The sequence below is a fragment of the Homo sapiens genome (assembly GCF_000001405.40).
Source record: "Homo sapiens chromosome 9 unlocalized genomic scaffold, GRCh38.p14 Primary Assembly HSCHR9_UNLOCALIZED_CTG3".
In the NCBI taxonomy this organism is placed as follows: Eukaryota; Metazoa; Chordata; class Mammalia; order Primates; family Hominidae; genus Homo; species Homo sapiens.
This window is the reverse complement of record NT_187374.1, coordinates 91,287-114,643: the sequence shown is the minus strand read 5'-3', so window position 1 is coordinate 114,643 and position 23,357 is coordinate 91,287. Positions and strand designations below refer to the sequence as shown.

General features: G+C 50.0%; 1 pseudogene across 1 annotated transcript; it reads right to left on the bottom strand.

Annotated features, from left to right (window-relative positions):
- Nucleotides 1-8,463: 8,463 nt before the first annotated feature.
- LOC102724750 (uncharacterized protein C2orf27A-like) lies at nucleotides 8,464-22,313 on the bottom strand (annotated as a pseudogene). Its single transcript, XR_007068534.1, has 3 exons — nucleotides 22,223-22,313; nucleotides 18,299-18,616; nucleotides 8,464-9,251 (listed from the first exon to the last, which is right to left on the bottom strand). The product of XR_007068534.1 is annotated as an uncharacterized protein C2orf27A-like (transcript).
- Between the last annotated feature and the right edge of the window lie 1,044 nt (nucleotides 22,314-23,357).

Genomic DNA, 23,357 nt, shown 5'->3' with positions numbered 1-23,357 from the left:
TTGGGGAAGTGAGAGTCACCTGCATGAACTCAGGGCTAGAGGGCTGTGGCTCTGGGACACACAGGGTGGCCAGGGGGAGGCTGCAGCGGCCTCTGCTGTTGGGAATGAAAGGTGTCTGCCTTGAAGTGAAAGGGTCCCTGTTCAGCTCTGGGCCCCTGTGGGACCCTCAGCAGGGATGTCCTGAAGGCTCCTAACAAGCTGGAAAGCAAGGAAGGTGCCTTGTCTGGAAGTCAGGATCGCCCAGCCAGGGTGGCCGTCCCATGGCCTGGCTGCATGAGGCCCTGGGGGTAGCTGTCCGCCTACCTTGCAGGGAGTGCCTCTCCTCAGCCATCAGCTGATTCAGTCCCCAGAAGGTGTCTTCCTCTGGCAGATACAGGAGGAGGATGGCAGTTAGGCAGCTCATGTCCCTGTAGTAGCCCACCTCCTGCAAGAGCCAGAGTCACCATGGAAGCAAGTCACCTGAGAGGGCTGAGGCCATCTGGGAGGACTCATGTCACTGGAGAGGACAGAGATAACCTGGGAGACCTCCCTCAGGCCCTAGGGGATTTAGGGTGCAGACTCTGCACCCCTCCCCTGACCCTGGGCATGAGGACTAAGCAAGTCCCCCACAACTCAGTTGAAAAGGGACCTGGAGGGACTTCTGCAGTGAGTGTCCAACCTCACATGGTCTGAAGGGGCACAGGCAAGGATCATTCACATCCCCTATCCTGGGCCAGGCTGGGAAGGCCAGTGTGCCAGGACTGGGGCAGCACCTGTGAACCGCACCCACCACAAGGGCAGGTGGTGGGCCACTGATCACCACACAGTGGGTCCTGTGATGGCCCAGGGGCTGCCTGCCAGGCACAGGAGGGCGGCTGGGTCCAGACCCCATGTGAGCAGCCCATGGAGTGATCTCAGCGGCTCTCCCTGCCTGGAATGGTCTGGGAAGTGGGGGCCAAGCAGGAACAGCCACCTGGGTGACCTCCTCCCTATCTACTATGCTCCTACGGGGTTAAGGCAAAGGGGAAATTGGATCCCTGCCAGGTTTCCAATAAAGAGGCTTCCTCAGGATGCAAACTCATTTCATGAAAAAAAGCCTGGCCCCATCAGGCACCTCAGCAGCTTGTCAAACATGTCTCCTGCAAGGACTATCCTGTGTGCAACACTGCTAAGCTCCTTGTTTGGGGCAACACCAGGAAGGGAGGGTCATTTCTTCTTCCAAGATGTGGTGGTTGGGTCCAGGTGACATCAACAGTCTGGGCCCTGACCCCTTTCCATCTCAGTGGGACCCCTTGAGACACCAGCTTTCCTTCCTTGCTTGGGTGTCCACGCCAGCAGTTCTACCTACTACGTTATTACAGCCAGATCAGGATAATTGTCCTCTCTCTGGAATAAATGCAACGACCACTGTTCTTTGAGCATTATTTATCTTAAATTATTGTTTTAATTAGATATGTATCTCACTTATATTAGCCAAATTTCCTTTCAATGTAACCAAATTTCTTTTAAGTGAAAATTAAATATTTACCTTCATCAAGCATTCTATGAATATAAAATGTTTATTTTTTTCAACTTTAGAAGAAATTGAAAATGTCTACATGCTACTAATCTAAAAAACAGGCTCTGGGTTTATATGGTGTTAACCTTTCTTCCAAATTTTAAGGAATAGATATTTAAATGCCATCCACTTTGTTTTAAAATACATAAAATGTTTTAAGCTTTTGACCTCAAAATTTACAGTAGCACAGCTATTCCATAATGAATAAACCACAGAATCAAAACAAAGAAAGATTCTACAGACCAGTCTAACCAACAAGACAATTATAAACTAGTGGTTCAAATATCAAAAACCAATTTCAATGACAAATGCATGGTATGAAAACCCTGCAAATGTCAAGTAGAATATATTATACTTGAATGAAATTATGAGTTGAGAGTAGGAAATCTATGTTTAACCAAGCAAATTAAATAAAGTTTATGAGGAAATTATACTGCTAATGTTTTATTATTTGGCAAGCTATTCAGTGGAACACAAAGATATTCTTAATGAAGTCGAAAATATATTTTAAAATGTGACTGAAGTGGATTAAAAAATAATGAGGACATGAATAACTTTAAAAAGTATTCAGGGATAAAGAGAGAAAAATAAATTTAGATTTCATACATACATAAAATATATTTAAAAAGTTATGTTTTTTGGTTGCTTGAATAAAAGGAACAGATATTTAAATTCCATGCCTTTCATTTTAAAGTTTAGGAATTGCTTATAGCTTTCCACACTGACTTTTATACTAACACAGTTAATCTAATCGAGGGATAACAAAATCAAAACAAGCAGAATTCTCTTGACCAATCTATTTTCTTGATTTTTAAAAGTCAATGTACTCTCAAAGAAACAAGACTATTATTCGTAGATTCTGTTATTTGAAAATATTTACTGGTCATTTTTACCTTACACCAAGTGATCTCCAGCTCATGGAAAAATATGTAAAGTTGCCCAGCTTCATTAAGCTTAAACTCTTCTGAAGGAGAAAAGAAGCAATGGAGTAGGGACATTAAAGCAGGAGTTTGGTGATATGGCTGAGACTTCTACTTGCACACTGTGGTAGCTGTGTGGAGACTGGATTGAAAAAGGGGCAATGACAGAAGCTTAAATTAGTATCAAATATGGCAATCCTATAATTTTAAGGGTCCTTGAAATAAGAGTGTATAATAGTTCTCATTATTTCCCCAAGAAATCTGTGCACTTGGCCTTGTGTGGAAAGCGCTATAGTTACCAAGTGGTGGGGGTGGGAAGGTGAATTTTCAACAACATTTGGAATTACTACACTTTAAAGGTAAAGCTGGCAGGAATTCCATACACATCAGATCTGAAAATGTGTGTGTGTGTGTGTGTGTCTGTCTGTGTGTGTTTGTGTGCGTGTGAAGCAGGGAAAGAGAGCAAGAGTGAGAGTGAGCAAGAGAGAGAGGAGAGAGAGGGAGAGAATCAGACAGATACAGGAAGAGAGTGACAGAGCTACAGAGACAGAATTAAAAGGGGACACCAAGAATATTGAGCTGAGAAACTATAAAATGGGAGTTGCCATTAAACAGAATGGGGAAGAGCAAATTTTGGGAGTTTCAGTGGCTCCATACAGACATATTAATTTTGAGATTCTTAACTGACATCCACGTGGAAAAGTCAGGGAGTGTTGGGTGTAGTGTCCAGTGTTTAGGTGTAATATGAAATATCAGGAAATTAATGACACAAAAATTAGTAAGAAAGCAAAGATAAGAAAGATAAGAAGTCAAAGTCCTGAGCCTAATGGTCCTCTAACATTTAAAAAATAGTAAAGATGAAACCTGCAAAAAAGGACTAGGGGTAATTATCAAAAACGTAGTGGGGGGAAAGTAAGTTAAGTGTTCTGGAATTCTATAAAAAAGTTTTACAAAGAGAAGGTGGAGATCAACTGTGTGAAATGCTGCTGATATATAAATTAAGATGAAGGCCGAGAAGTTATGGTTCAATTTATAATTTAACAATATGGATAGCACTTATATTTTGATATGAGCAGCTCGTTGGAATGAGTAGGTGAGAAACCATATTGGAGTGGTTGCTGAGATGAAAGTCTGATCCCTGGATTCTTAAGGAAAAATTTTATTGGACTACAGAGACATAAATTGGATTTTTAATTCTGGAGTCAGGATGTGCTCAGTAAACATGTGCCCATCAATGCCTCCTTGCATTTTTTTTTTAGCTAGGTATTCTGTTATCTTTTAATAATATAATAATTACCTGCAAAACCTACACCCATGTTGCAGCAAACCACCATGACACATGTATACCTGTGTAACAAAACTGCATGTTCTGCACATTTATCCCAGAACTTAAAGGAGAGAGAGAGAGAGAGAGAGTGAGAGAGAAAGAAAATCCAGCCAAGTGCGGTGGCTCATGACTGTAATCCCAGCGCTTTAGGAGGCTGAGACAGGTGGACCATCTGAGGTCAGGATTGAGAACAGCCTGGCCAACATGGTGAAACCCTGTCTTTACTAAACATACAAAAATTAGCTGGGTGTGGTGGGGGGCACCTGTAGTCCCAGCTACTTGAGAGGCCAAGGCAGGAGAATCACTTGAACCTGGAAGGCAAAGACTGCAGTGAGCTAAGATCACGCCACAGCACTACAGCCTGGGTCACAGGGTGAGACGGTTTGAAAAAGAAAAACAAAAACAAAAACTAAAAAACACCCATTTAATTGACAAACTTTACAAAGACTGATACTAGAGGTTGTTGGAGAGGACGTTGTTCCACATATCTTATGAGTTGCCGATGGACAAGTAAGATGGTAAAATGTCTTTGAAAAACTGACCATACCTGCTATACTTAAATATTCAGACACCAAACACCCAGAAATTCCATCTTGTCATTTATTTCCACAAGAAAAAACAAGAGACCTGTATTAAAATATTGATTTCTATTAAAAATAATCACACTAGGTTTCCTGAAATTTTTTTGTTGGTAGCTCTTGTTTTCAGCAGTACAACTTCCAATATATATGTGTATATATATTTAATATATGTATTTATGTATATATATTGGACAGATATATATGTATATTATACATATGCATACATTATATATTATGTATATATGTATATACATACACATGTATATATGTAATATACATACACACACGTATATATGTAATATATACACACATGCCTATATGTAATATACACACACGTATATATGTAATATATACACACATATGCATATATGTAATATATACACACATATGCATATATGTATATACACACATATGCATATATGGTGTATATACACACATGCATATCTGTGTATATACACAATATATGCATATCTGTGTATATACACATATATGCATATGTGTGTATATACACATATATGCATATATTGTGTATATACACCATATATGCATGTGTGTATATACACCATATATGCATATGTGTGTATATACACCATATATGCATATGTGTGTATATACACCATATATGCATATGTGTGTATATACACAATATATGCATATGTGTGTATATACACAATATATGTATATATATTAGGCAGAATTTTGCTCTTGTTGCCCAGGTTGGAGTGCAATGGTGCAATCTCGGCTCACTGCCATCTCCACCTCTCAGGTTCAAGCGATTGTCCTGCCTCTGCCTCCCGAGTAGCTGTGACTACAGGCTTGTGCCACCACCCTTGGCTAATTTTGTATTTTTAGTAGAGATGGGGTTTCACCATGTTGGTCAGGCTGGTCTCGAACTCCTGACCTCAGGTGATCCACCTGCCTTGGCCTCCCAAAGTGCTGGGATTACAGGTGTGAGCCACTGTGCCCGGCCTATTTTGTATTTTTTAATCTACCACACTCTAAGAACACATATTTTAAATCAATTTGTACATTCAGTGACTAGAACAAAACCAGCATTTTGTAGATTCCAAAGAATTATTTGTTGTATAAATGATGAATAACTTAAATAAGTTATTATTTATAACATCTATATACAAACAATATATTACCTGAGAATACAGTGATAACACGTTATGTATAAAATGATTTCAATCTCAGTTAAAAATATTTTTGCATGAGTTATTGTCATATGCAGATGCTCACATTGTTTTGTTTAGATGAAAATGTTTGTAACTACTATGCACATTTTTGTTACTTAAGCCTTTTGGTCTTGCTGCCGTAGCAAATCCTGTGCCTCTTAAGAACATGAACCTCTTTTACTTCATTTTTTAGCAGATTTCTTAATGAAATATATACCATACTATTTTGTTTAACACATAAGCAGACACCCTGTCAGAAGCAAAGAGACATCTATTCCACCATTACCACCCATGCCTCTGCTAATGTGGCTGCTGAAGATGTTACCTAGAGCAGAGGACTTTGTGTTCAACCTAAGCACTTTATATCCTTTATTTTCAACTGGGTAGGAGATAAAATAATTCAGCAGCAATAAAAGTCACACTTCTTAAAGTTGCAGTCTCACCAATGCAACACAATGTAGCAGTCTCTCTTGTGAGGTATCACCTTGAGTTCTTCATCTCACCACCAAGATGATTAAGGAACGGGGACACACGGGTGAGGTGGGAGTGAAAGTTTAATAAGCAAAAGGAGGAAGCTCTCTGCAGCAGACAAGGGCGTCCAAGTGGATTGCCGTTTTTACAGTTGAATCAAAAAGCTTTTATAAGAAACTCCTCTCAGCTATATATAAAACTGTCTGCACAATTCCCTTTATATATCCAGCTGTGGGTATGTCTCTAGTCAAGCACAAAGTGGGCTTCTCCTGTTTGTATAACTGTGGGTTTGTTTTAGGTAAGCCCCCCTCCTCCCTGTGCAAGTTCCCACAGAGGCCGCCATGTATATGCCTGAAAAGGGGAGGAAAATTTTACCTGGGAGCTTGCCAATTACACAAAGAACAGAAGGCATCGGTGCTGGACCCTGCATGCTTATCTGTTCAGGGCTTATCTGTAGGTGCAGTAGTTGTGATTTTTCAGGCAGACAGCTTCCCTGAGGACCAGTCTCTTACTTGTTTACTCAACTAATTTTCCTTTCCTTCTCCCTCAACATTATGCAGCAAAACAGATTACACTTCTCTTTCCCAGTAAATCAGTGTTGGTACTCCACTCTGAATACTTGTATTATTGGATTTCTTAGAAAAAAATATTTGGGATTATAATTTAGATGCCATCAAACAATGAACAAAAATATGCTACTTCGTTTCCCTTCTCTTCTCTTGTTACCAGACAATAGCTAGTTTTCTTTTCTCTCCAACTCCTTTTTTCTGTGCTTCTACCTGATTTTTAAAAACACTTCTACACATTTCCAATCTTAGTATAGCAGACATCAAATACGTGGTCAAACTACATACATAGGAAGAGTTGAATTATCTAATTATATTCAAGCAGTTTAAAATATTTCCCCTTCAGTTTGCTTTGCAGTTATTTTACATAATCAAATGTCTTCCTGATATACATCCCAACCCAGTGGTTGTCAAGCTCTGCTTTGTTTTCTAATTGCATCAGAATTATCCACAATTCTTTTTTTTTTTTTTTTTTGAGATGGAGTCTTACTGTTGCCCAGGCTGGAGTGCAGTGGTGTGATCTCAGCTCACTGTCATCTCTGCCTCCCTGATTCAAGTGATTCTCCTGCCTCAGCCTCCCAAGTAGCTGGGACTACAGGCATGTACCACCATGCCTGGCTAATTTTTGTATTTTTAGTAGAGATGAGGTTTCACCATGTTGGCCAGGCTGGTTTTGAATTCCTGACCTCAAGTGATCCACTGCCTGGGCCTCTCAAAGTAAGAATTATCCAAAATTCTTATGATAAATATGGATAAATCAGCACAACTCAAGATTTAATACAAATTTCCAAGAGAAGAAACCCAGGAATATGCATTGAAAACGTCTCCCTCAGGTGATTCTGATGTGATATGTGGTCTGAGTCTAAAATGCAAGGAAAATTACCTTCCCTGCCCTCCAGTTGGCCCTTATGTCCAGATGTCCCTCTTCCCCTTTCTCATTGTGCTCTCTCCTTCTGTGCCTTTGTTCTATTCTCCCTCCACTTCTCATCCAGATGCCAAGCCCTCTTCCATCAATTGTCCTAAACTCCAAATGGTCAGTTGCCTCTATACTTCCCTCTGTCCCATGAACAAGTTACTCAGGCAAACGTAGAATTTCGGCTTGGACCAAGCTGAATCAAGAGCTGCAATTAAAGATTCCCCTAAGCCCGGAGGGGACCAGCAAACACTTATAGAAGATTTTGGATTTCCTCCGAATGCATAAGGCTCTGGGTAACCTGATGCTACAGACCAAATGTTATTGTCCCCCTCAAATTCAAGTGCTGAAATCTAATTCCCTATGTGATGATATTTGGAGGTAGGGCCTTGGGGAATGATTAGATCATGAAGGCAGGGACCACAGGAGTGGGATTAGTAGCCCCTATTGAAGGCACCATAGAAAGCTCCCTCATCCCTTCTGTCATGTGAGGACATGGTAGAAACATGGCTGTCTATGAACCACAAAGCAAGCCCACACCAGACATGGAATCTGCTAACCACTTGACCTTGAATTTTGCCATCTCCAGAACAGAGAGAAACAAATTTGTTTATAAGCTTCCTCATCTATGGCATTCTGTTTTGACCCCAGATTAGCTAAAAACACCAAAATATCAACTTGTACATCAAATTTTCGAAATGGATGCTAAAACTTTGATAGCAAAAGGTGACTGATCTGCCTGAGAAATGAACCTACATGATCCCTCTTTCCACAAAGCTGGAGGGAGAGTCAACACAAGCAAAAATAGGTCAAAGTCTTCTAAAAGCCATACCTGAAGGGTTTTCAATATCACTTGATCAGATGGTAATTTAATCACCCAAAGAACCACAACAAAATACACAACTATCAGAGGTTTTCAACGTCACCTCAAAAACACCATCTACAATATTAGGGAGTGAAAGAAGTCATGGAAGTTTCAAAAAGTCAAACTTTATTTCAGTGTTATGGTAGAAATTTGAAATTCTTAGTTAAGCTATGAATAAATCCTTGGGCAGGTGCAGGCATGGAGATTCTGGAGTGCTGCTGCTGAGTTTAAGAGCTTCCTTTGGAGATGCCCCCTGGCCCCCTCAACCCCTGTCCACCTGTCAAGAAGAGGCCATCCTGGGCAGCACATTAGAGGCAAATGGCCCAGATGCCCAGCTGAGGGCAAACCTCCATTCCTGGAGGAGGAGGTCGCCTCTGGGAGCAGGAGGACCTGCTGGAACCCCTGCTCACAGGCTCCTTTTCTTGCTCTCCAGCACCTCCTGCAGGCAGGCAAACACCTCCAGCAGCAGTAGCGGCAGGGCCTTCAGCAGCAGGGCTGCTGCTCTGCTGAATGAGAGAAGTCCCTCTCCAGTGAGGCAGAGGAGCCCAGGTTGCACACCCTGGTCTCTGCCTCCATAGCTTCCACTGTGCCCAGGACTGGGAGCAGTGTGGGAGCTGCTGGCTGGAGCTGTGCTGGTCACCCCCTCTCTGCCACCTCTAGCTCCAGCCACACTTTCAGCTCCAGGGCTGAGGCCAGTGGCTCTACAGGAGGTGCCATGAAGTCAGGCAGCTTCTCACTAGGCTGGTCCTGTGCAGTCCCAGGGCAGCGGCAGGAGGGCTCTGGAGCTTCCTCTAGCTCCAGCGCTGTCCCTGGAAGGGGCTCTGCCCCTGGTGCTGGCACTGGCTCAACAGCTGGCACTGGAAATAGCTGTGTTTCTGCACCTGAAGCAGGAGCTGCAAAAGGAGAGAGGTCACCAATATCACTCACTTTCCACTGGAATTTCCAAACATGAAAACAACCTCACTGAATTTAAAGGAATTTCAGCCTGAAAACATTGTCCCTGGAAAGACTTCCAGACTGCAGGTGACCTCACCATGTGCCTGTGTCTCAATGAGCTCCAGAGGCTCCAGCTGGACAAGGACAATGTGCAGATGTGGCCCTGGTGGGATCACTGGTGAGGCCTGGCCTGGTAGCTCCATCTGGGGCCTGATGTCTACCTGGTGACTCCTGTCCTGTGGTACCTGGGGGGACCTTCTGTCAAATGGCCAGAGGCATCTGGAGTGAGCGATGAGCTTACAAGGGCATCGTTGGAAAAGAAAGGCTCTCACTCCTGCCATTCCTGAAGCAGGAGCCTTGAGATGTGGGGATGCAGCACAAGAACGTCTTGCTCTCTTGAGCATCTCCCACCAAGTGAGCTGGCTACAGGGCTAACTCTAGGATGTGGGTGCCTGGTTATCGGGATTCTTTTTTTTTTTTTTTTTGAGACATTGTCTCATTCTGTTGGCCAGGGTGGAGTGCAGTGGCATGATCTCGGCTCACTGCAACTTCCGCCTATTGGGTTCAATCAATTCTCCTGCCTCAGTCTCCTGAGTAGCTGGGATTACAGGCCCAAGACATGCACCACAACACCTGGCTAGTTTTTTTGTGTTTGTTTTTTGTTTGTTTGTTTGTCTGTTTTGAGACAGAGTCTCGCTCTGTCACCCAGGCTGGATGGAGTGCAGTGGCGTGATCTGGGTCACTGCAAGCTCCGTGTCCTGGGTTCATGCCTTTCTCCTGCCTCAGCCCCCCGAGTAGCTGGGACTATAGGCGCCCACCACTACGCCCGGCTAATTTTTGTATTTTTAGTAGAGACGGGGTTTCACTGTGTTAGCCAGGATGGTCTTGATCTCCTGACCTTGTTTGCTTTTTGTATTTTTAGTAGACATGTGGTTTTACCATGTTGTTCAGGCTGGTCTCGATCTCCTGGTTTCATGATCCTCCTGCCTCAGCCTCCCAAAGTGCTGGGATTACAGGTGTGAGCCACCGTGCCTGGCCTGGTTACCAGAATTCTAAGTTCTGTTAGGGTCTGTTGCCAAAGAAGTGAGGTTGCTTCTTTAAGGTTCCATCCCCTCAGCCTCCCCCTTCCAGAAGACCTACGCAGGACCCCAGTGGGCTTCTGACTGCTCATCCTCCCCATAGGTCAACTCCTTACCTGTACACAGTTATGTCCACCCAGGGCCTACTTGGACACCTGCACCTGATGTTCACCAGGGGCTTAGGAATCCACTTGGGGCCTGGGATCCTACAGGGGCCTAATGTTACCCTGCAGATTGAGTAGCCACCTGGGGACCAGGTATCAACCTGGGGACTGTGGTTGACCTGTGGGTTAATGTCCACCTGGGGACTGGTTATTCAGCTGAGGCCTGATGCGTACCTGGGGCCGAATGTCCCCCTCAGGGTGAATTCCACCCAGATCCACCTGGGGCCTAATGTCTGCCTTAGATCTGTGTCCCACTGGGGCCTTGTGTTCACCAGGGACTGGTATCCAGCTGTGGCCTGATGACCTACTGCATCCTGTTGCTCACCTACGGCCTGGTGTCTACCTGGGGCTTGGTGATCACCTGGGAACTGGATATTAACCTGGGGCCTGGGTGACCACTTAAGGCCTGATGTGTGCCTGGGGCCTGACTGTCCACCTGGGGACTGGGTGTCCACCTTGGGTCTGATGTCTACCTGAAGTTAGGTATCTACCTAAGGCTTGGTGTCTACCTGTGGCCTGATGTCCACATGAGTCTGGGGTTCGGTTGGGGCCTGCTGTACATCTGGGACCTTGGTGTCTATCTGAGGCCTGATGTCTACCTGGTGACTGCCATCCTCTTGAGGCCTGCTATCCACCTGGGAATGGTTTATCCATGGAAATGGTTATGTCCACCTGGGGCTGGATGTTGCCCAGGGGCTAGATGTCCACCTGTGGCCCCGTGTCCACCTAGGGCCTGATGTCCACCTGGGACATGGTGTTCACCTGAGACCTGGGTGTTTACATAGGGCCTGATGTCCAGCTGGTGCCTAGGTGCCCAGCGGGGGCCTTCTGTTAACCTGGGGACTGGTATCCAGCTGGGTCCTAATGACCACCTGGGTTGAATTATTCACCTAGAGTTTGGTATTCACTTAGGGCTTGAGTGTCAGCCTTGGACCTGGTGTCCACCTGGGCCTTGGGTATCAAACTAGGGGTTTGGTATCCAGTTGAGACATCATTTGCACCTGGGGTCTGAGTGTTCGCATGAGGCCAGATGACCACTGGGGGCCTGAATGTCAACCTGGTGTCTGAAATTCACTGGAAGCCTAGGTATCCACCTGGGGCCTGATGTCCACCTGGGACTAGGTGTCAACATGTGGCCTGATGTAAACCTCTAGTTGAGTGTCCACCTTGGGCCTGATGTCCACTGGGGGACTGATGTTCCCCTTTGATCTGATGTCTACCTGGAAACCGTGTATTCACCCATGGCCTGATGGTCACCTGGGGTTGAATGTCCAACTGTGACCAGATGTGCACCAGGATTCTGGGCATCCACGTGGGACCTGATGTTCAGCTGGGGCCTGGAGTTCACCTGAGGCATGATGCCTACCTGAAGCTTAATGTTCATCTGAGTGCTGGATGTTCACCTGGGGCCTGATATCCCCCTGGAGCCCAAGGACCCTTCTCAGGCCTGATGTCCACAAGTTGGCCTGGTATTCATCTGGGGCCTTCGTGTTAACCTGTGGCCTAATGTACTCCTGGGTTCTAGTGTCCTCTTGGGACCTGATGTCTACCAGGATCCAGGTATCCACCTGGGGCTCGGTATCCACCTAGGGCTTGATATTCACCTGGGGCCTAGGAATCCACTTGATAACTGGTGCCCATCGGGGTCCTGATGTTCACCTTGGGACTGGGTAACCACCTGAGGCCTGATGTCCACTTAGGGCATAAGTGTTTATCTGGGGTCTAGTGTTCACATAGGGTCTGATGTCAACCTTGAGCCCAGGTATTCACCAGGGGACTAGTGTCCAGCTGGGACCAGATGTTCACTTGGGGCCTGGTGTCAACTTGGAGCACGGTTGTCAACCTAGGACCTGATGTCCAGTCCAGTGTCCACCTTGGGCCTGTTTACTACCCGGGGCCTGTGTGTCCACATAGACCATGGTGTCAATCTGGGGCCTGGGTATTTACCGGGCGCCTGGATATTCATTGGTACATTATGTCTAGTGGAGTCTTTGTGTCAATCTGAGCTCTGATGTCTACCTAGAGATTGGGTATCCATCTAAGGCCTGGTGTTTACATGGGGCCTGTAACATGAGGTTCCAGATGAACTCAGATGTCCACCTGAGGCCTGATGTCCACCTGAGTTCTGAGTGTTCACATAGGGCCTGCTGTCAACTTGGGACCTAAGTATTTACCTAGGGCCTGGGTGTCCACCTGGTGCCTGACTTCCAACTAGATCTTGTGTCAACATGGGGCCTGATGTCCACTTTGGGCCTAGGTAACTTCCTGATGACTAATGCCCACATGGTTCCTAAGGACCATCTGAGGCCTGGTATTAATTTAGAGACTGGTATTCATCTGGGGTCCAGGTATCCACTTGGGACCTGATGTTCACCTGGAGTATAGGAATTCACGTGGGGCCTGGTATCCACCTTAAGTGTGTGTATCCAATTGAGTGTGGTGTCCACCTGGAGTCCAGTGTATACCTGGGGCCTGATGTACATATGGAGCCTGGGCGTCTATCTAGGACCTGATGTTCAGATAAGGGCTGGCATTCTCCTGGCCTGGTGTCCACATGGAGCCTGGGTGTACACTTGAAGCCTGATATCCCAGGTGGATACCTGGGCCCCAGTGGTCATCAGATCCTAGGAAACTCTCAGGCCCCAGGTGCACATAAAGCTACAGTGGCCACCTAGGCCACAGGTTGATACACAGGGTCCAGGTGGACACTGGGTGCAAGATGAACACCAGGCCCCTGGTGAACGCCAAGCCCCAGGTGTCTGCCTAGTCCTCAACTGGACACCAGGCACTAGATTGACACACAGGTACCAGGTGGATATCAGGCTGCAGGTGAACATCAGGCCTCAGGTGGTTGGGTTACTTATAGCATAGGTGGCCATCAGGTCCCAGATCTATATCCACTCCCCACCTGAAAATCAGGATCCATGTGGATACCCATGTCCTAGGTGAACACCAGGTTCCAAATGAACATCAGGCTCCAAGTGAACACACAGGCCCCAGCTCAATACCAGCCTCAGGTAGACATCAGGACCTAGGTGCACCCCAGGCCCAATGTGCATGCCTAGTCTCTTGGAATACATCATTTTCAAGGTGGACACCCAGATTCCTCAAAGACATCTGGTGCCAGGTGGATATCTGGCTGCAGGTGGACATCAGGCCCCAGGTGGAGACCCAGTACACAGGTGTAAATCAGGCTCCAGTATTTCATCAGGCCCCAGTTTAACACTTGACTAAAGGTGTGCATCAAGACCCAGGTTGACAGCCAGGCTTCAGGTGCACACTAGGCCCAAAGTGTACACCTGTGCCAAGGTGGGCATCAGGCCCAAGGTGTACACCAGACCCCAAGTGGACATCAGGTTCCAGGTTGACACCAGTCTCTAGGTAGATCCTTAAACCCCAGTTGGTCATCAGGCCCAAGGTGGATACCTTGACCCCAGGGGGTCACCAGGTCTCAGGTCGACACTAAGCCCTAGGTTCAAGGTCTGAGATGGTTTCAGCCCCCATGTGGACTTTAGTCATAAGGAGCTTACCTAGGACCTAAGTGGACATCAGGCCCCAGGTTGACACAATGAACCATGTAGAAGTCAGGCTGTAAGTAGACACCCAGGCCCTAGGTAAATACTTTGGTCCCAAGCCAACATCAGGCCCTATGTGGACACCCAGACTCCAGACAGATGTCAGGCCCCAGGTGAACACTGAACTCAGGGTGGTCATCAGGCACTAGGTTGACACATAGGCCTCAGGTAGACAACAAGCACAGGTGAACTTCAGGCTCCAGATGAACGTCAGGCTCCAGGAAGAAGTCTGTGCCCCAGTTAAACACCAGGTCTTAGGTAGACATCAGGCCTCAAATGGATGCCCAGGCCCCAGGTGGATATAAGGCCTCAGGCAAACACCAGGCCCCAGGTAGACATTAGACACGAGATGGACACTCAAGCCACAAGTGAACATCTGTCCCCAGGTGGACATCCACCCAAGGTGGACATCAGGCCAGAGATGTACACCCAGGCCCCAGGAGAACCCCAGGCCCCAGGAGGACACCCAAGTGCCAGAAGGACACCCAGTCCCTAGGTAACTACAAGGCCCCAAGTGGACATGATGTTCCAGATGGATATGAGGCCCCAAGTGGATACTAGGCCCAGGTGGACCCCAGATCTCAGGGGCACACCAGGCCCCAGGGGAACACCAGGCCCTAGGTAAGCATGAAGTCCCAGGTGGACATCAGTTGCCAGGAGGACACCAGGACCCAGTTGCTCATCAAGCCACAGCTGAACACCAGTTCCCCATGAACACCAGTCCTCAGGTGGGCACCTAGTCGTCTCGTGTGTATCAGGTGCCAGGCTGACATAGGCACCAGCTGAACTCTGGGCCTCAGGTGAACATCAGATCCCAGGTTGTCACCCAGGCCCCAGGTGAACACCAGGTTTTAGGTGGACACGAGGTCCTAGGTGGATGTCTATGCTCCTGGTGAACCTCAGGCCCTAGTGGACACTCAGGCCCTTTATAGACATCTGGCTCCATGTGCACTCCCAGGGCCCAGGTAGACATGAGGCCCCAGAGGAACACCAGTCCTTAATCACCTAAGACTGAATTCCCCTAGGGCAGGAGACTGAGTATTCACCTTGGGCCTAGGAATCTACCTGAGGCCAGATGTCAATCCGGGGCCTGATGTCTACTCAGGTTCAGCTGTCCACCTAGGGCGGGGTGTTTTTCTGGGACCCAGAGTCTACCTGAAATCTTGGTATCAACCTAGGGCCTATGTGTCCACTTGGAGTCTGATGTGCACCTGAAGCCTGAGTTTTCACGTGGGATCTGATGAGCACCTGGGGCCCAGGTTTCCATCTGAAACATCAGGTTCTAGTTATACATCTGGGCCCCAGGTATACACTAGGCACCAAAAGAACTCCAGCACCTATCTTAACATGAGGTCCTAGGTGAATGCCCAGGCCTCATGTCTACATTAGGCCTCAGGTAGACATGACTCCAGGCGGGCATCAGGCCTGATATTGGCTCTATGTCTCCACCCAAATCTCATGTTGAATTGTAATCCCCATGGGTTGAAGAATGAGCCTGGTGAATGGTGATTGAATCATGGGGGCAGACTTCCCACTTGGTGTTCTCGTGATAGAGTTCTTACGAGACCTGGTTATTTGAAAGTGTGTAGCACATCCCCCTTCTGTCTCCCTCCTCCTCCCACATGGTAAAAAGGGCTTTACATCATGATTGTAAGTGTCCTGAGCCCGCCCAGTCATGCTCCCTGTTAAGCCTGAAGAACTGTGGGTCAGTTAAACCTCTTTTCCTCATAAGTTGCCCAATATCAGGTAGTTTTTTATAACAGTGTGAAAATGGACTAATACAAGGACTTAGGATAACAACCATGCTTCAGGCCATAGGTGGACATCTGGCTGCAACTGGACACTATTCCCCAGGTGGATACCTAGGCTCAAGGTTGACATTAGTCCCCAGGTAAACAACAAGCCCCAGGTGAATATCTATGCCCTAGTAGACATCAGGCCTCAGGCTGACACTCAGTCTAACCTCAACATTAGGCTCCAGGTGGACGCCCAGACTGCAGGTGGATACTAGACCCCAGGGGTACACCAGACTCCTGGTAGGCATAAGACCCCAGGAGGACACTAGAATCCAGGTGTACATAAAGCCACTGGTTGACACCAAGCCCTCAGATGAACATCAGGCCAACTAGTGGATGTTAGGCACATGAGAATACTTGGGCACCAGGTAGGTATCAGGCCCCAGGTAAACATCAAACTTCAGGTGGACATCATTCTCCATGTGAACTCTAGCCCCAGCTAAACATCAGGCTCCAGGTGGAAGCCCAGACCCCAGGAGCACTTCTGACCACAGTTGAACATCTGTCTCCAGGTGAATATCAGACCATGGATGGATAGCAAGTCCCCAGGTGGACATCAGGTCAAAAGTGAATATAAGTCTCTAGGAAGACATCTGACCCCAGGTGGATACTGAACTAGAGGTTTACATCAGGCCCTAGGTTGACAGCAAGGCCCAGGTAGACAGCAGGCCCCAAGCGAAGACCAGGCCCAGGTGGATACTGAACTAGAGGTTTACATCAGACCCCAGATTGACATTCAGTCCCCAGGTGGTCATGACACCTCAATTGGACAACAAGTCCGTAGGTGTCCCAGGTGTACACCAGGTCAAAGATGAACACAAGACCTAAGTTTGACACTGAAGCCCCAAGTGGACATGAGGCCCTAGGTGAATAATATGACCCAGGGGATCATTAGGACCCAGCTTCATACCAGTCCCCAGGTTTACACGAGGCCCCCAGTAGGTTCCTAAATTCTAGTTGGACATGAGGTCTCTAGTAGACACCCAGGAGTAAGGTGGACATCAAGCATCAGATGGACGTCTGGCCGTGGATGAACATCAAGCCTCACATGGATACCTAGTCCGCAGGTAGACATCAGGCCCCAGTTTGACATCAGTTTCTGGATGGATCCCCAAGCCCCAGGTGGATATCCAGTGTCCAGCTGAACATCAGCCCCTCGTGGACGCCCAGTCCCCAGGTGAATATCAGGTCTAAGGTGAACACAAGTCCCCAGGCAGACATCAGACACCAGGTGTACACTCAGACCCCAAGAGGACATCTGTCCCCAGGTTGACATCACTCTCAAGGTGTACATTAGGCAACAGATATACACCCAGGTCCAAGGCAGACACGAGTCCCTAGTAAAACTCAAGGCCCCAGGAGGATACTCAAGCCCTAGGTGGATGCCCAGAACCCAGGTAATTACAAGGCCCCAGGTGGATATCAGATTCCAGATGAACATTAGGCCCCAAGTGGATACCTAGGCACCAGGTAGACACCAGGCCCCAGGTGCATCCCCCAGTCTCAGGTGCACACTAGGCCCCCAGTGAACACTGGCTCCAGGTGAGCACCCAGTCCAAGGTAGACACCGTGACCCAGGTGGTCATTAGGCCACAGCTGAACACCAATCTTGAGTGAACACCAGATCCCAGGTGGGTACCTAGTCTCCAGGTGGATATTGGGCCCCAAGTGGACACCCAGCCCCCAGGTGAACATCAAGCTTCAGGTGGACATCATGCCTCAGGTGAACTCCAGGTCCCAGCCCAGCTGAACATCAGGCTGCAGGTGGATGCCTAGGTTCCAGGTGCACAACAGGTCACAGTTGGACATTCAGCCCCAGGTGAACATCAGGCCATGGGTGGATAAACAGTCCACAGGTGGACATCAGGTCAAAGGTGAACATCAGTACTCAGGTGGACATCGGGCTCCAGGTTGACATTAAGCCCAAGGTGGATAGTGAACTAGAGGTTTACATCAGGCCCCAGGTTGACACCCAGGCTCAGGTGGACATTGGGCCCCAGGTGGATACCTAGGCCCCTAGTAAACCTCAGATTCTAGGTTGACATTCAGGCCCCCAGTAGTCATTTGGACCCATGTGGACACTCAGGCGCCAGGTTCACATGATGTCTTAACTGGACACCAAGGGGCCAGTTTGATACCCAATCCTATGTGGGTGCCAGGTCCAAGGTTACACTCAAGCCCCAAATGGACACCAGGCCCTAGGTGAATAATACAACCCAGGTGGTCATTAGGCCCCAGAATGACACCAGTCCCCAGGTTAACAGGAAGCCCCCAGTGGGTACCTAGGCCCCAGCTGGACATCAGGCCTAATGTGGACAAACAGGATCAAGATGGACATCAGGACTCAGGTGGACATCTGGTGACAGGTGGACAACAAGCCTGATGTGTACCTTGTCCCCGGGTGGTCATCAGGCCCCAGTTCAACACCAGTCCCTGGGTGGATTCCTCAGCTCCAGGTGGACATCCTGTCTTCAGCTGAACATCAGACCCCAGGTGAACACCAGGTCTTAGGTGGACATTAGGCCCCTGGTGGACATAAAGTACCAGTGGACATCCATGCTGCAGGTGGACACCCAGGACCCAGATGGGCATCAGGCCCCATTTGGACATTGAGGCCCCAGGTGGATATCAGGCCTCAGGTGAACCCAAGGTCCAACATAGACATCAGGCCTTAGGTTGACACTCAAGCACCAGATGGACTGCTGCACCTAAGCAGAAAACAGACCCTTATCTGGATATCTAAGATACATGTATACAACAAGCCCCAGGCTGACATCCAGACCCCAGGTGGACACCATACCCCAGGTGAACAGCAGGCAACAGTTTGGCACCAAGTACCTAAGTGAAACAAAGCCTTAGGTGATTACCAGGCCATAGTTAGTCATTAGTCTCCAGCTGGACAATAGTCCCTAGGTGGATACCCAGGCCCCACGTGGACACTAGACCCCTGATTAACACAAAAACCAAGTGAAAAATCAAGCCCCAAGTGGACAACCAGGCCCTAGGTAAATACACAAATCTCAAGCTGACACCAGGCCCTATTTGGACACCCAAGCCCTAAGTGGACTTCGGACCCCAGGTGAACACTGAACTCTAGAAGGTATTCAGGCCCTGTGTTTGACTACCTGGCCCCAGGGAGACACCAGGCATAGACGAACTTCAGGCACCAGCTGTACATCAGGTTCCAGGCAAATGTCCAGGCCCCAGGTGGATATCACACCTCAGATGAACACCAGGCCCCAGGTAGACATCAAAAACCAGGTGGACACTCAGGCCCCTACTGAATATCCGTCCCCAGGTGGACATCTGTCCCAAGGTGGACATGAGGCCACAGATGTACACTTAAGCCTAAGGCAGACCCCAGTCCCCAGGAAAACTCCAGGCTCCATGAGGGCACTCAGACCCCAGATGGATGGACTGGTCCTAGGTAAATACAAGGCCCCAGTGAACACTGGAGCCCAGGTGGGTACCTAGTCCCCAGGTGTGCAACAAGCAGAAGGTTGACCCAGTCCCTAGCTGAACTCTGGGCCCCAGCTGAACATCATAACCCAGATGGTCACCCAGGCTCCAGGTGAACACATGGTCTTAGGTGGACATCAGGCCCCACATGAACACCCAAGCCCCAGGTAGAGATCGGGCCTTAGGTGTACACCAGACCTCAGGTGGGCATCTGGCTCCAGATGGCCATAGGTGGATAACTAAGCCTCTCCTGGATATCAGGCCCCAGGTGGGCACCAGGCTCCAGGCGAACATCTAGCCCCAGGGGGACATCCAGCCCCTGGTGGACATCAGGGCTCACATGGATAAGTAGTTTACAGATGGACACCTGCCACAGGTGCCTCACCTCTACTCCCTGAAACCTCACTTCCCCTCATGGGCCTTCTGTTCGACTTGGGGTACCCCTAGCCGCCTTAGGTGCACACTGGACTCGAACCAGGGACGCCAGGGTCCCTGGGGCTCAACGCAAGGGTTCATGGGAATACACTTTCGTCCGTGGGGGACCCAGTCCCCGCTTCTCCGTGGCACAGTTTTTTTTCTCTGCCCCAGGTGCCTCACCTTTCCCTCATGGGCCTTCTGTCCACCTTGTGGTACCCCGGCGGCCAGAGGCGCACCCTGGGCTCGAACCAGGGATGCCAGGGTCCCCAGGGCACAGCGCAAGGGCTGATGGGGAGACACTTTCACCCGTGGGGGACCCAGGCCCCGCTTCTCCGCAGTGCTGTGTGTTTTTTTTTTTTCTCTGCCCCAGGTGACTCACCTTCCCCTCATGCGCCTTCTGCCCGCTTTGGGTTACCCCTAGCAGGCCAGAGGCGCACCCTGGATTCGAGCCAGGGACGACAGGGTCCCCGGGGCCCAGCACAAGGGCAGATGAGAAGGCACTTTCGTCCTTGGGGGACCCAGGCCCTGCTTCTCTGTGGCGCGGTTTTTTTTTTTTTCTTTTATGCCACAGGTGCCATACCTCTCCTCCCTCAAACCTCACCTTCCCCTTATAGGCTTTCTGCCCACCATGGGGTACCCCAAGAGGCCCGAAGCGCACCCTGGTTTGAACCAGGGATGCCAGGGTCCCGTGGGCCCAGCTCAGGGGCTGATGGGAAGACACTTTCTTCCGTGGGGGACCCAGGCCCCGCTTCTCCGCGGCATAGTTTTTTTTTTCTCTGCCTCAGGTGCCTCACCTACCCCTCATGGGCCTTCTGCCCGCTTCTGGGTACCCCTAGCGGGCCCAAGGCGCACCCTGGGCTCGAACCAGGGTCACCAGTGTCCGCGAGGTCCAGCGCAAGGCCTGATGGGAAGGCACTTTCGTAAGTGGGGGACCCAGGCCCAGCTTCACTGCGGCGCGGTTTTTTTTTTTTTTCTGCCACAGGTGCCTCACCTTCCCCTCATGGGCTTTCTGTCCGCCTTGGGGTACCCCCAGCGGCCCGAGGCGCACCCTGGGCTCGAACCAGGGATGCCAGGGTCCCTGGGGCCTAGCACCGGGTCTGATGGGAAGGCACTTTCTTTCGTGGGGAACCCAGGCCTCCCTTCTCCGTGGCGAGGTTTTTTCCTTTTTTCTCCGCCCCAGGTGCCTCACCTTCCCCTCATGGGCTTCTGCCCACTTTGGGGTACGGCTAGCGGCCCGAGGCGCACACTGGGTTCGAACCAGGGTCGCCAGGGTGCACGGGGCCAAGCGCAGGGGCTAATGGTAAAGCACTTTCGTCAATGGGGGACCCAGGCCCCCCTTCTCCGTGGCGCGTTTTTTTTTTCTGCCACAGGTGCCTCACCTCTCCTCCCTCAAACCTCACCTTTGCCTCATGGGCCTTCTGCCCGCCTTGGGGTACCCCTAGCGGCCCAAGGCGAACCATGAGGTCGAACCAGGGACGCCAGGGTTCCCGGGGCCCAGTGCAAGGGCTGATAGGAAGACACTTTCGTCCGTGGGGGACCCAGGCACCGCTTCTCCGCGGCGCAGTTTTTTTTTTCTTTTGGCTTCCCCAGGTACCTCACCTTCCCCTCATGAGCCATCTGCCTGCTTTGGGGTACCCCTAGTGGACCGAGGCGCACCCTCGGCTCGAATCAGGGTCGTCAGGGTCCCCGGGGCGCAGCGCAAGGGCTGATGGGAAGACACTTTCGTCCGTGCCGGACCCAAGCCCCGCTTCTCCGCGGTGCGGTTTTTTTTTTTTTTTCCTGCCACAGGTGCCTCACCTCTCCTCCCTCAAACCTCAACTTCCCCTCATGGGCTTTCTGCCCGCCTTGGGGTACCCCTAACCGCCCGAGGCGCACCCTGGGTTTGAGCCAAGGTCGCCAGGGTCCACGGGGCTCAGCGCAGGGCCTGATGGGAAGGCACTTTCGTCCGTGGGGGACCCATGCCCTGCTTCTCCGTGGCGCGTTTTTTTTTTTTCTGCCACAGGTGCCTCACCGCTCCTCCCTCAAACCTCACCTTCCCCTCATGGGCCTTCTGTCTGCCTTGGGGTACACCTAGTGGCCAGACGCACACCCTGGGTTCGAAACTGGGACACCAGGGTCCCCGGGGCCCAGCGCAAGGGCTGATGCGAAGACACTTTCTTCCTCGGGGACCCAGGCTCTGCTTCTCTGCGACGTTTTTGTTTTTGTTTTTGTTTTTTTCGCTTTTCCCCAGGTGCCTCACCTTCCCCTCATGGGCTTTCTGCCCGCCTTGAGGTACCACTAGCGGGTCCAAAGCGCACCCTGGTTTCGAGCCAGGGACGCTAGGGTCTCCGGGGCCCAGTTCAGGGCTGATGGGTAGGGACGTTCGTCTGTGGGGGACCCAGGCCCCACTTCTGGGCGGCGCAGTTTTTTTATTTTTTTCTCTGCCCCAGGTGTCTCACCTTTCCCTCATGGGCCTTCTGTCTGCCTTGGGGTACCCCTAGCAGGCCGAGGCGCACGCTGGGCTCGAGCCAGGGATACCAGGGTCCCTGGGGCGCAACGCAAGCGCTGATGTGAGGACAGTTTCTTCTGTGGGGGAGCCAGGCCCCGCTTATACGCGGCGCGGTTGTTTTTTTTTTTTCTCTGCCCCAGGTGCATCACCTTCACCTCATGGGCCTTCTGCCCGCTTTTGGGTACCCCTAGCGGCCTGAAGCGCACCCTGGTCTCGAACCAGGAATGCCAGGGTCACCTGGGCCCAGCGCAAGGGCTAATGGGAAGACACTTTTGTCCGTTGGGGACCCAGGCTCTGCTTCTCCGTGGTGCGGTTTTTTTTTTTTCTGCCACAGGTGCCTCACCTCGCCTTCCTCAAACCTCAACTGCCCCTCATGGGATTTCTGCTCGCTTGTCTTCCGAGGCTGTGGTGTGGATCTCGCACTGCGGCCGCCTCGCCTTGGCTGGGGAGAACCTCGGTGGGTAGGATTCAGAGGGGCTTTTGCTTTCCCGTTTTCCACACTGAACCCTTCTAACTGGTCTCTGACCCTGATTATTCAGGGCTGCAAACAGGAAGGATTTTATTCACCATCGATGCGGCTCTGAGTAGTCCCAAAGCGAGGCAGTGCCCCCAAGGTCTGTGCTGAGAACGCTGCTCTGCCTTCGCGGTGTCCCCCGGGTGTGTGCTGAGCAGAACGCAGCTCCGCCCTCGCGGTGCCCCTGGCCCGCCCGCCCGGGTCTGTGCTGAGGAGCACATGATCCGCTTTGCTGTATCTCCGAAGTCTGTGCAGAGGAGAACTCACCTCCGCCCTGGCAATGCTCTCCGGGTCTGTGCTGAGGAGAAGGCAGCTCCGCCCTCGCAAAGGCACGCGGCGCCTGCGCAGGCGCAGAGAGGCGCACGGGGGGTATTCCTAGCGGGCCCGAGGCCCACCCGTGGCTCGAACCAGGGTCTCCAGGGTCCACAGGGCCCAGAGCAGGAGCTGATGGGAAGGCATTTTCATCGTGGGGGACCCAGGCCCTGCTTCTCCGTGGCGCGGATTGTTTTTTTTTTCTTTTTCTGTGACAGGTGCCTCACCACTCCTCCCTCAAAACTCACCTTCCCTCATG